Here is a 13,297-nt window from a genome sequence, read left to right as displayed (position 1 = left end):
AATACTCAAAGCTTCAGAATTTTTTAAACATGTCTAGTAATAAATGCTTAGAAATTCTCTTTGAGAAGGTAGAATGTCACCATTTTCATTTGCAAACTTCAGTAGAAAAATACTATTCAAGTAATGTTTTCAATCAGAAAAATATCCAAATGTTGTTCATGTGTTAATTCTTGTTTCAGTCCAAGTTTTAGTTATTCATCCTTGAGTCCCAAATCCTACGTCACAAGAGATGATTATTAAATGAAATGAACAATAATAAATAGAAGCTATTATTTTGTACTACATCATAGGATGACACCAGTATAAGTAGTTGAGGTGTGTAGGGGGAAAATCTCAGAAAGTTTAAGTATGGCTGTATCTAGGGGCACCTATAGAGAAGCTACACAAGCTATCTCTTTATAAACGGGCCAAAAGTAGCAGAGAGGGTTGTGGGTTGTTGTGATTGTATGGTACATTCCCTGGCCTTGGTTACTGGTTGTTAGTTATGCCCAGATCAATGTCTCCATCCTGTTGGGGAACTGATCTTAACCACTACTATTTTAAAAACTTATTTCAACATTTATATTATCATTTAAAGATCTTACTTGATTCTTTACTACCACTGTTATTATCACAGTGATAGTAGAAGAATCTTAATTATTTCCATGTAATATTTTATGATTACAAAATGTTATTTTGTAATAACATTACAAATATTTGCAATAATGCTACCATTTTATCTTCAAACTCTACTGAGGTAGGGAGGTCACTTTACAGATGAAAAATTTAAAGCACAGAAGCAGTTACATGATGTCCTTTTTATTTCAGTCCTAAAAAGTAGAGGAGTAATTTCACTATAAACTACTTGAAGGCAGGAATCATGTCTTATGCACATTTCATATTTTACAATGCCCAGTTCTGTGCCCAGCACCTACAGTTGACTGAGTAAAGGAATGAATGATTTTTAACTTAGGGTTTGCCTAAATTACTGATTTTGACACTACAATCTGCTTTATGCCTCCATTCTCACCTTGTCCCCTTCTCCATTCTCACCCTTCTCCATCAGCTGCTGGCCCAGGACAGAACACATTCTGTGGAATGGCAATGGCTCAGCGTATTGCTCAAAAATCCTCTATCTTTAGAGTTTCATTTCTATTATCTCTAATTTTTGCTTCCATTTACAGCCAGGATCTAAAACTATTTTATATGACACTCTATTATTCATCACACAATCCTCATTTCACTGAGAACATTATTCCAGTTTGATGGTTCTTCTTCAACCAACTAATATTCCAGTACATGACCTGATTATTGACCCAACTTCAGTAACTTCATTCTCAGACTTGGCACATAGACCTTAAGTTATTCATTTTTGGTGAAGCGTATTCTGATTGAGTTCATGACATTTAGAGTAATCCCTCACTTATGCTAGCCGTATTGTTATATGGAACTGGGCTATCAACTCCTTTACATCATAACAAACATTACCGAACATATTTTCGTAAGTGTATTGACAAGACGAATGTTTTAAACACTACTACATGCTTAGCACTGTGTTAGATGCTAGGAATAAATGAGTAAGATAGTGTCTTCCACCATAGACCCTTAGTGACTCATTGTGACTCTAATACTCAGACAAGTGACTCAGTACAAAAGTCTATAATAGGAAACAGAGACCTGGTTTGCTTTGTGTTTTGTTTCTCAGAAGCACATATAAGTATCTTGATGTTGTCCTTTACAAGTGTTCCACAAAATTAATGTGAATCAGAAGACTAAGCCTGGCCTTTCATTGGATACACTTTCTGACACTGAGTTAATTATAGAAAAAAAATACAGATTTCTTTTTCATGATTCAATGGAGCCTGACCAGTCAGCCAAAATTCTGTCATTCTTGGGCTAGATTAAGAAATAGATGTGTCAAAACATCTGATACACTACAAACATATTTCTGTTGAATTTTGCATTTTGAATCTTACCTATTTTCTTTCAGTATATAAAGTGTTCATTCATTACTTTATTAATGAAACATATCAATTGAACAACAATTAAATAATAGGTATTTTGCAAGGTGATGTGAGAGAATAGTTAAAGGTTCTTGTTCTCAAGAAACTTATCGTCCAGAAGAAGAACTGAGGCTTGTCTTTGAAATCCCTATGGTAAAACTGTATCAGTTGACTCATTTAAGACCACTTTTAACCCAAAAAGGAAGCCCTGACATTTTGCAACTGCAAGTTACCTTAGAGATAAACCACTCCAAATCTTCCATATTATGGATAAAGAAGCTGAGAGTCAGTTGAAGAATTAATACCAGGCCCCAGAGAATAAAAGGAAGAGGTGGGTCTAGAATCCATTTCTCAGATTCATAGTTGGTGTTCTTAGCCACCATGCCACACTGCCCCTAATAATGGACTCAACCAAAAGTACAGTGAAGGGCAATGCCCGGGCTTGCAGGCTTTCGGTAATATGTTCATGAGCATGTGTGAGGGGCAGTGCAAAGAGGGCAGCCTTCTCTGGAGGAGACCTGCTCTGTCTGACATGATTAAAGATTACAGAGGAAATTTCTGACTTTCCCCTTTGAATATTTAGCATTCAAAGAATATTTTTTGTCTTTTGCCAAATAAAGGCTGAACAAATGGTAGTTGAACAGAATTAAGTATTTCTTCTTATTTAACTAGTGCACTTTTACTAAAATGAAACTCTCAAGTGAGAGATTATGCAAATTAGCTTCTGCACTGATCCAATAGCATTGGGGTGAAAAGAGCAAGAGCTTTAGAGCCAGACACCCTCAGGCTGGTACCCTGCTCTTATACATTTTATCTGTGAGATTTAGATAAGTCACTTTGCCGCTTTGAATCTTCATTTCTTCCTCTATTAAATGGAAATAATACCTATCTCTCCTGCTGGGTTGTTATACTTTTTAGCAACAATGATAATAATGCATCTCTGTGCCAATCTCTAAGCTAGATGTTTTCTATACATTATTTCTCTGTAACTATACAGTATAAGTAAAACATATAGTAGAATGCTTGTCGCTGAAAGATATTTGTATGCTTCCTGTTACTACTTATCTAATCTTCCCTTGAAGAACTATCATTATTAATACATTTTGTTTGAAAATCAGAATCTTATCTACTAAGGCCTATAGCAGACTTATATATCCCACAAATACAACCAATCCATTAATAATATTGCTGGGGAATGGGGATGGCCTATGCAGGAATGACTAGTGCTAAGTATGAACCAGTTTATGATTTTGCTGATGAGCTGTGGGCATTCCTCCTTTTCTTGTGAGGATACTGAGAATGTCTTAATTCATAATTGCATCCCCAGCATCAAGCACTATGCCTGGGACATGATCAGCATTCAGTAAATGTACACAGACCTGAGGTGAAAAGTGTCTTTTTGGTTATTGGATCCCCATCCTTGAATTGGAAAAGTCTAGAGTCTGACTGTAATATTCCAGTAACTTTGGCCTGGACAGTCTTGGAACCAAAGCACTATTACCAGGGGCAGTAATTCCTGTGGTCACCATGGCAAAGATTCCAAAGTCAGCCGGGGAGGTGGCTCATGCCTATAATCCCAGCACTTTGGGAGGCCAAGGTGGGCAGATCATCTGAGGTCGGGAGTTTGAGACCAGCCTGGCCAACATGGAGAAACCCCGCCTCTACTAAAAATACAAAATTAGCCGGGTGTGATGGCGCTTGCCTGTAATCCCAGCTACTTGGGAGGCTGAGGCAGGAGAATCGCTTGAATCTGTGAGGCGGAGGTTGCAGTGAGCTGAGATTGAGCCATTGCACTCCAGCCTGCGCAACCAGAGTGAAACTCCATCTCAAAAAAAAAAAAAAAAAAAAAAAAAGAGTCCAAACTCAGAATTCTAAATTCAAGAACATCAAAATGAAAAGTAGAAGGAAATATGGGAACCTAGTATGTAATTCTCCCTAAACTCAGTTTCACTTACTGTTCTCTTAGGATTTTTATGTGGTTCCATGCTAGGACCAATAAAATGGAATGTTTGAAAAGAAACAGTAGGTATTTCCTCAAATCTCCTTTAGCTCTGATTAATGCACTCTTACTCTTTACATTGAGGCACACTCCAGATTCAATGTTATATCGTTTCAAAACTTCCACATAGGATCTTTTTAATTTTTATTTAAATTTGGGACAAGTCTTGCTGGGGAAAAACAAAAAGTTCCTCTGTAGAATCATATCTATTTTCACCTGTGGTAAACCAAGTCAAAATTATTTGATAAATGAACACCATAATTCAAGTGTATGACAGCTCTTATGTCTTCTTGCAAGAATGTATTTTTTTTTGAGCTGAAATAATGTTATTTCCTCTTGACATGTATTTTAGGGTAATTCTTTAACATAAAACAGAGCATCTTGCTTATAGAATTATTACTAAGCTCTTTGATTAACAGTGTAATTCTGTGTTCTGTTTCTTGAATCTGAGACTTTCCAGAGAAGAATAATTATTTTTAAGGCAGCAGTTCCCAACTGGACTGTCTCAATACACTGGTTTATGTCAATAATTTTATTCCAGGTGATTTTAAAAAGAAAATGACAAGCTTAAGCAAAATGGGAGTAATATGTCTCCATGGAATGGACAGAAGGGCAGGATTAGAGTTGTGTGTCACCAACACATATTGGGCATAGGAGTGCCATCAAGACTCTCTCAGCCTTCGAACTCACCCTCTTCATTTGGAGGTTTGAGATCTGTAACTGTGGACAAGTTTGTTCATGAATTCGCAAACTTGTCTCTCAGAGTGCCTAATTAGTACATGTTGAACTTTCTGCTACAAGAGAAAGATTGCCAAAATGAAAGAAGGATGAGAGAGAAGAATGTAGGGAGGAATGGAGAAAGGAAGGGAGGAATGAGGGAGGGAAAGGGGAGGGGAGGGGAGGGGAAGGGAGGGGAGAGGAGGGGAGAGAAGGGTGGAGGAAGTAAGGGGAAGGGGAGAATGGGGGAGGGGGGAAGGGAGGAAGCCTGGCGGGGCAGGGGAGGGAGGGAGGGCCAGTTTTTGCTTCTCCTGGCCTGTATTAAGTGCTCTCCCACAGAAACCAGGGTGCAGGTTTATGTAAGAACACAGCAATTCCTGTGAGAATTTTTATGTTGAAAGTTGGAGATAGGAGTGGGTAGTGGTACTAAGTAGACAAATATATCACCCAATGTAATGTGTTACTATTAATGAAGTAAGTAAGTTTTGCAAATTACTTTCTTTATAAATTGGGTCAGATTTAAAATAACTCTTTTATGGACAGCCCTTTCAATTGCTTGCATTCCAGTATATCTTTCCTTGGTAGGAGAGAAAAGGAAACTTATAGACATCATGGCAGAACTTTATTGAACTAGCCCCTAATTTCACGTGGGCAGAACCCATATCTATCTTTGTTAGCCCTAGTGCCTAGCAGAGAGTAGTGCTCAATAAATGTTTTTTTTTTTCCTAAAAGTTGTGGCATCTATGGTTTTAGGGATTGCAAATTATGATTTTTATGGTAACTGTCTTTTAAATTTTAACCATGGGCATATATTTTAATAAGGAAGGAACCAAAGTAGAGGAAAAATGGGAAGAGTCCAATTCCATTTACACTGTACATGAGTACAATGATGTTGCAAATATTTCTATTAGTAATGGCACAAAAAAGATCAATGAATAAAGTTGTATGATGATACAAATGAAATTTGTAGGAATGATACCATTAAAATTAACAACAAACATTGGAAGTTCTATATATTGTGACTTTAAAAGTGTATAAGTTGTAGCTGTTTCTCCCTCAGTGTCACATACTGACCAAATTTATTATTTATTATTTATTTATTTATTTATTTATTTTGAGATAGAGTCTCGCTCTGTCACCCAGGCTGGAGTGCAGTGGCGAGATCTCGGCTCACTGCACCCTCCACCTCCCAGGTTCAAGCCATTCTCCTGCCTCAGCCTCCCGAGTAGCTGGGACCATAGGCACATGCCACCATGCCTGGCTCATTTTTTGTATTTTTAGTGGAGACGGGGTTTCACCTTGTTAGCCAGGATGGTCTCGATCTCCTGACCTCATGATCCGCCTGCCTCAGCCTCCCAAAGTGCTGGGATTACAGGTGTGAGCCACCACACCTGGCCCAAATTTACTTATTTATTTTATTTATTTTTTTTCAAATTCATTTTTTTAAGCATTTTATTGTTTCTTGTAAAATGGCCAGTTTTTTTCAATCTTAAAATGTCTACTTTCACTTTAGACATGCTTATTAAAGAGCTTTAAGGCATAATACCACAAGTAAAATAAACGTCTATAAAATCTGCACATAATTTGCATTAATTTTGTCTTTAGTTTTTGGTCAAAATCTAGATACAGTCACAGGAATGTGGCGATATCCATTATGCTGGTTTGGCCAGAAACAAAATTGCCATAGCTACGTAGTCTAAGGCATGGACCACGTGAGAAAGAGGTAGTTTTTTAAACATCAAATAGCAAATAAGAACAGCTGAGAAAATAGAGCATAATATGATATAATTGCATCAGCTTCTGGAGTGGAGTTATTTTCATACTTGAAATTAATGTGTAGAATAAATGCAACATTTTATTTGCCTAGATATTTACTCTCTCAAAGTCCAAATATCTTACATTAAGAATTTTGCTTACCACAACACATTGCTTCAGTTGACTGATTGTGAAGAAAGTGTTTATTCCTGGAGTTTTGTGGAAGAGGTTAGTGGAAGCCTCTTCCCTACCAGGGAGCTGTTATTGTTGAGGCAAGGAAAGAAGCCCAGAGCCACATATATCAGAGAAAAATCCAAACACATGTAAAGCAACAAGGAGGAAAACACAGTGGGGAAGCAAATATTCTATACTAGGCAGGTCTTGAATGCTCAATTCTATCACTCACTGTCTGTGTGGTCTGAGAACATTCTTTGTATGACTTGAATCCTTAAGACTTGTTTTATGACCCAGAAATATAATAATCTTTGTTGGTAAATGTTTCATACGCACTTGAAAAGAATATATTGTTGATGGGTAGTCTATAAATGCTAATTAAGTCAAGTTGCTAATGTTCACATTTTTGTTTCATGTATTTTGAAGCTGTTATTACATGAATAAAGATTTAGGCTTTTTATATCCTCTGGATAAATTTGGGGCTTCATCATTGCTCATAATATTCTTTGCTCTGAAATCTGCTTTTTTTATATATTAATGCAGTCATTCCAACTTTCTTTTGACTAGTGTCAATATGGTATATATTTTTTCCATCTCTTTAATTTTAACCTAGTTGTACCTTTGAATTTAAAGTGTATTTCTTATAAACACTATATAGTTGGATCTTTCTTTTTTATCCGGTCTAACAAACAGTTGCTGCCTTTTAATTGAAGTGCCTTGAACTTTTTACAGTTGACATGATTGTTGGTGTCATTAGGTTTAAGTCTAATCATCTTGGTACTGTTCTCTATTCTCTTTTTTTCTCTTTGCATGTCTGTTTGGAGGTTTACTGGATAATTGTTATAACTCCATTTTATCTCATTTGTTGATTTATTAGCTATAACTCTCCAGATGTTGTTGTTATATTAGTGGTTGCTTTAGGGTTTGTAGTGTACATGTTTAACTTATCCCATTCTAGCATTACTATCAATATTATAATACTTCATGTACCGCATTAGAACCTTACAAAGTATAGTTTTCTTTCTTCTGGTTTTTGTGGTATTGTCACATATTTTATATGATACAGTGTGTGTGTGTGTGTATACATATATATATGTATACACACACACACACAAAATAAACCCCATGACACATTGTTAGTATTTTGGGTTAAGTAGATGTATTATATATATTTATTTATATATTTATATATAATATAAATACAAAATATTAAATATATATTATATATTATAAATATATATAATTATACATATATAAACTTCCATTTATATATTTATATTATATATATTTATAATATAATTATATATTTATAATTATATAATATATATTTAATATTTTGTATTTATATATAAAATATAAATATATAAAATATAATATATTTAATATTTTTAATTTAATAATTATATATTTATAATATCCTATTTATAGGATAATTTAATAATTATATATTTATAATATCCTATTTATTATAGGATATAAATAGGATATATTTATAATATTATATATTATAAATATATCCTATTATAAATAACATATATATGTTATAATATATATCCTATTATAAATAGGATATATATATATATATATATATATATATTCTATTAATTCTGTCCCTCTAGGGAACCCTGACTAATACATATATATATAATATATCCTATTATATATATATATAATATATCCTATTTTATATATATATATCCTATTAGTTCCTATATAAACTATTATATATCTATCCTATTAGAACTAATAAGATATATATCTCCTATTAGAACTAATAAGATACATATATCTCCTATTAGAACTAATAAGATATATATATCTCCTATTAGAACTAATAAGATATATATATATTCTATTGTTTATTAAGTATTAACTTAGACTATCACAAGGTCCCACAATAGGGTGTCTGCAAGCTGAGGAGCAAGGAGAGCCAGTCCAAGTCCCAAAACTGAAGAACTTGGAGTCCGATGTTCGAGGGCAGGAAGCATCCAGCATGGGAGAAAGATGTAGGCTGGGAGGCTAGGCCAGTCTGTCCTTTTCACGTTTTTCTGCCTGCTTTATATTCGCTGGCAGCTGATTAGATTGTGCCTACCAGATTAAGGGTGGATCTGCCTTCCCCAGCCCACTGACTCAAATGTTAATCTCCTTTGGCAGCACCTTCAAAGACATACCCAGTATCAATACTTTGTATCCTTCAATCCAATCAAGTTGACACTCAGTATTAACCATCACAGTGGACAATTGTTTTAAAGAAGTTTAAATAACAAGGAAAAGGCTTAGGTATTCATCCACATAGTTACCATTCCCAGGGTACTTCCTTTATATATATCCAGACTTCCATTAGGTGTCATTTCACTTCTGCCTGGAGTACTTCCTTCACTACTTCTTTAAGTGCACATCTGCTACTAAGGAATTCTTTCAGCATTTTATGTTTGAAAAAAGTCTTTATTTTGCCTTTATTTTTGAAAGATATTTTATCTGGATATAGAATTTTAAGTTGACCCTTACAGTGCAGGTAACTTTAAAGATGTTGCCTTCACTGTTTTCTTACCCATGTTGTTTCTGATGAGAAGCCTCTTGTCATCCTTGTCTTCCTTATTCTCTTTGCATGAAGCATGTTTCTTTTTCCTGGCATAAATAAATTTTTTCTTTTTATTAGTGCTACTAAGCTGTTTGATTATGATGTATCTTGGTGTGTTTCTCTTTATGTTTCTTGTGCTTCTGTGGTATTAAGCTTCTTGGATTAAAATATTCATAGTTTTCAATAAAATTTGGAAAATTATTGGTCATGATTCCTTCAAATATTTTTCCTTTCCTTCTCACTCTTCCTACACTTTGGAAACTCCAATTAGAGGTCTATTAGTCTACTTGAGGGTGTCTCACAGTTGGTTGATACTCTTGTCATTCTTTAGAATTATTTTTTCACGGTTAGTTTGGTTAGTTGGTTAGTAACTAACTTGGTTAGTTTCCATTGCTATGTATTTTATGTTCATTAATATTTTAGGCATTGTTTAATTTGCCTTTAATTCTATTCAGCATATTTTTCATTTTCAACATTGTAGTTTTTATGCCTACAAGTTTAATTTGGATTTTTTTTATATGTTTCATGTCCCTATTTAACTTGTTGACCATCTGCAATACAATTATAAAATTGTTTTAATGTTCTTTTCTGCCACTTCTAACATTTGTGTCAGTTATGGGTTCGTTTTGATTGGTTATTTTTTTCTCCCATTGTCAGTCATATTGTTCTACTTCTTTTTATGCCTGGTAATATTTGACTAAATGCCAGACATGGTGAATTTTACTTTATTGGGGCCAGATATTTTTGCATTTCTGTAAATATTGAAATGTATCATGGAACTGATCTTTTCAAGTTTTGCTGATCTCTTCAAGTTTTGCTTTTAAATTTTTTTAGATGGGAGGGCAGCATTTAGGGGTAATTATGTTTTACTACTGAAGCAAGATTTTTCTGAGCATACTACTTAATGCCCCATGAATTGTGAAGTTTTCTAGTTTAGCTGGTGAGAACCAGCACTGATCTCAGCCCTTTACAAATGCCAAGTATTGATCCTACTCATCCTTCAAAATGGTTCTTTCTCTGGCCTCTTGTAGTTTCTTCATGCACACAGATGCCAATCAGTACTCTGCTAAATACTCAAGAGTGGTTCTCAGCATATTTCCAGAATTTTCTTTCTGTGCAGCTCTCTTCTGATACTCTTTTCTGCAAACTCTAGCCATGTTGATCTCTTCAGATTCTCAGTTCCATGTCTTCAACTAAGAGAGTCTGCCAGGCTTCTCCTGGGTTCTTTGTCCCTGCTTGATGGCCTCGAGACTCTGTCAAGGCAGAAAGCTGGGGCAGTTACCTCATTTGTTTCCCATCTACTAAAGATTCTTGTCCTTCATTGTCTGATGTCTGGTGTCTGGGAAATCATTATTCCCTATAGTTTGTCTGATTTTATTTACTTTTGGTTGTTTGAAGCAGGAGGTTAAAGCTGATTTCTCTCATTCCATCTTGCATAGAAATTGAAGTTCCTTCTTACATCTTTAAAGATGAAAGCTGCTCACTACCTATCTCATATACCCTTGCAGATGCCATGTCTCTAGGTTATCAGATATAATTTAGATTCAGCTAATCAAACTTACTTAGGCAAGTCTTAGAATATGGAAATGAGTTAGAAATTGTACTTCCTTTTCATCTGCTACTTTTTTCTGGCATACACAGTGGTTGTAAGATGTGTTGGGTTTTTCTGAGCTGTGCTATCAGAATCTCCATTCTTTAGTCAATAATTTCACAAGTGCCAAGTGGTTGTGCCTAGGGCATCTTCTTTTTAGCTGTGCTGACATAGGAACTGTATCATGTCCCTGGATCCAATCGTTTTAGACAACCTCCTGATCCCTGTAGCTTAGCTAAAAAGTACATTCTTGGAAACAACAGTTCTGATGGGAGGTTCTTGATTACTCATCTTCTAGTTATGGCAGAGGTAGCAGCTCATCCTGCAGCTTTGGAATCACAAGAGTTTGGTTCAGCTCAGGATACAGTGAACCTATAATACTTTAATTGTTCTGCTTGTTCAGGTCAGAATGACAATGTATAGAGGCCGTCAGAAAACAGGCACTTACAAAGGTGACTTGAGAAATGATCAGATCACAGCACATAAAAATTTTAAAAGGCTTTTTAAATCAGAAAATGACTATATTGTATATCCTTATACATTTATTTCCAACCTTAAAAAATACTGTCTTATATGCAATATTTGTATTTTTGTAGTTTTATTTATCAAATATACTTGGGATAAGTTTAGTCCCTACATATATATCTTTTATACTCCCCTGTATTAACCATAAAGGAAATTTAAATTGATTGAAGTATGTCTACATCATCTTTAAAATCAGTACATGCTGATATAACAGCTATTTCTGCAAAAGACAGACACTGTCATTTGAGCTTCACTTTTGGCTTCAAGGGACCCTCCACCTTTCTCCAACTCCAGTTTCATAACTTTGTGCCTGCAAAAGAATGTGGTGAGGGGAGGGCTTCTCTAGGATTAATTACAGAGTTTAGAATAAGAAAATTAACATGTCTAACATGCTTATTATGTGCCAGGCTCTGAAAAATGCTTTTATATATTACCCCATTTAATCATTACAACAACCACATGAGAAGGTTTTAACTATTTTACATGTGAAAAACATGAGACTCAAAAGTTCACCAACTCAATACAGAAGAAAGCTAGAATTCAATCCAAATCTATCCATATCAAAAGCTTGCTCTTTCCAATGTGTTATACTGCCTCGAAGCACTGTTGTAAATTGTGCTTCTCCAGGACTGAACCACATGTAGTTATCCTGTATTGGGGGACAAACTTATCTGTTGTTCATTCAAATGCACCCAGTGATACATAATACCAGGGCTCAGTTTGCTTAGTATAAATAAAAGTTTCCTACATTTTAGCAAAAGGTGATGCTAAAATGAAAATAAATAATAAAATGCCCAATTTTTGACAATTATCTACTCTTCTCAATAAAATGTTACCTTTATTAGGTTAGATTTTCCTTAGGCTTCCAAAGTTTATATTCCTAGAAATGAAGGTAATGATTTTTGTGTTTTTCTGGGACGGGCAGTGTATTGTTAGTCTGTTCTATAAAAGAATAAGGTTGCATTATTCATCAGAATCATTTTAGTAGTAAATAGACTTTGATATGAGAAAGAAGAGAGTTCTGAACAGTCTCTGAATTGTATTTATGCCAAATATGTAATTATATTACTCTGCAAATGAACTCAGTACTAAGACACTTATAGCCACATCTCTTATATTAGTGATAATTTAGGCATTTGTTTGCCTAACTGATGACATAGAGATGACTAAGACCGAAATCTGACTTCAGTTGGAGACTATAATCACCATTTGGAATTGCTCTTTCGTAATCATTTTAATAGGATAAATCACATGTTACATAACTTCATAATTTATTTAGTCATAAATTGATTCTAATCATGTGAATCGGGCATATTTTTTACTCCTAAAGTAAATAAACCAAAAGATTTATTAATTAGGTTAGACCAACATATCAATTAGTTGGGGAAAAAAGGAGTAAAAAAGCATATTGTTTTCAAATCATAAAAAGCTACTAAAAAACTAAATGGCACATGAAACATTTAATCTGGCAGAATAATTCCAATTAACCAGAAAGCCTTAATGATGCTGTAAAGTGATGGGGCAGGGGTAGTCTTTTGAAATTAGAAGAGTCAGGTTCAAGTCCTTAGTGTCACTATCATTATTTAGATGGTTATCAGGCAGAAGAGGGAGTGGACTTATTCTCTGTAACGAATTAAGGAGTTCATTCAGAGTAAGAAAGGACTCTTGTATAACCAAGAGACCCATCCAACAAAGAGTGAGTTGCCTCACTAAGGAGTGAGCTGCCTCTCCACCTCAGCAGATGCTCCAGCAGAAGCTGCATAGCTGGCCATTATGCATGGTAAAAGGCATTCCTTCAGTGGTTGAGTGTGAGACTAGAGTTTTCCATAGACCTTCTGATTTTGGATGGCCTTAAATCCTCACTGCGCATGTAGCTTTCTGGGATTCTGTACTGAGTATTCAATTGCCTTGAATAGGGGGAGATAGGTCTGCTACCTGTCTGTATCATCTTACTTTTTTCTTAGAAGCTCCTA

General features: G+C 34.9%; 1 protein-coding gene across 62 annotated transcripts in view; it reads left to right on the top strand.

Moving 5' to 3' along the window:
* The window catches only part of DLG2 (discs large MAGUK scaffold protein 2), a 2,173,362-nt gene that overhangs the window by 2,042,590 nt on the left and 117,475 nt on the right, over positions 1–13,297 (top strand). The gene's annotated exons all lie outside the window — the stretch shown is intronic.

The sequence above is a fragment of the Homo sapiens genome, chromosome 11 (genome assembly GCF_000001405.40).
Source record: "Homo sapiens chromosome 11, GRCh38.p14 Primary Assembly".
Lineage (NCBI taxonomy): Eukaryota > Metazoa > Chordata > Mammalia > Primates > Hominidae > Homo > Homo sapiens.
Note: the sequence above shows the minus strand (reverse complement) of the source record. Positions and strands in the feature narration are given on the sequence as shown.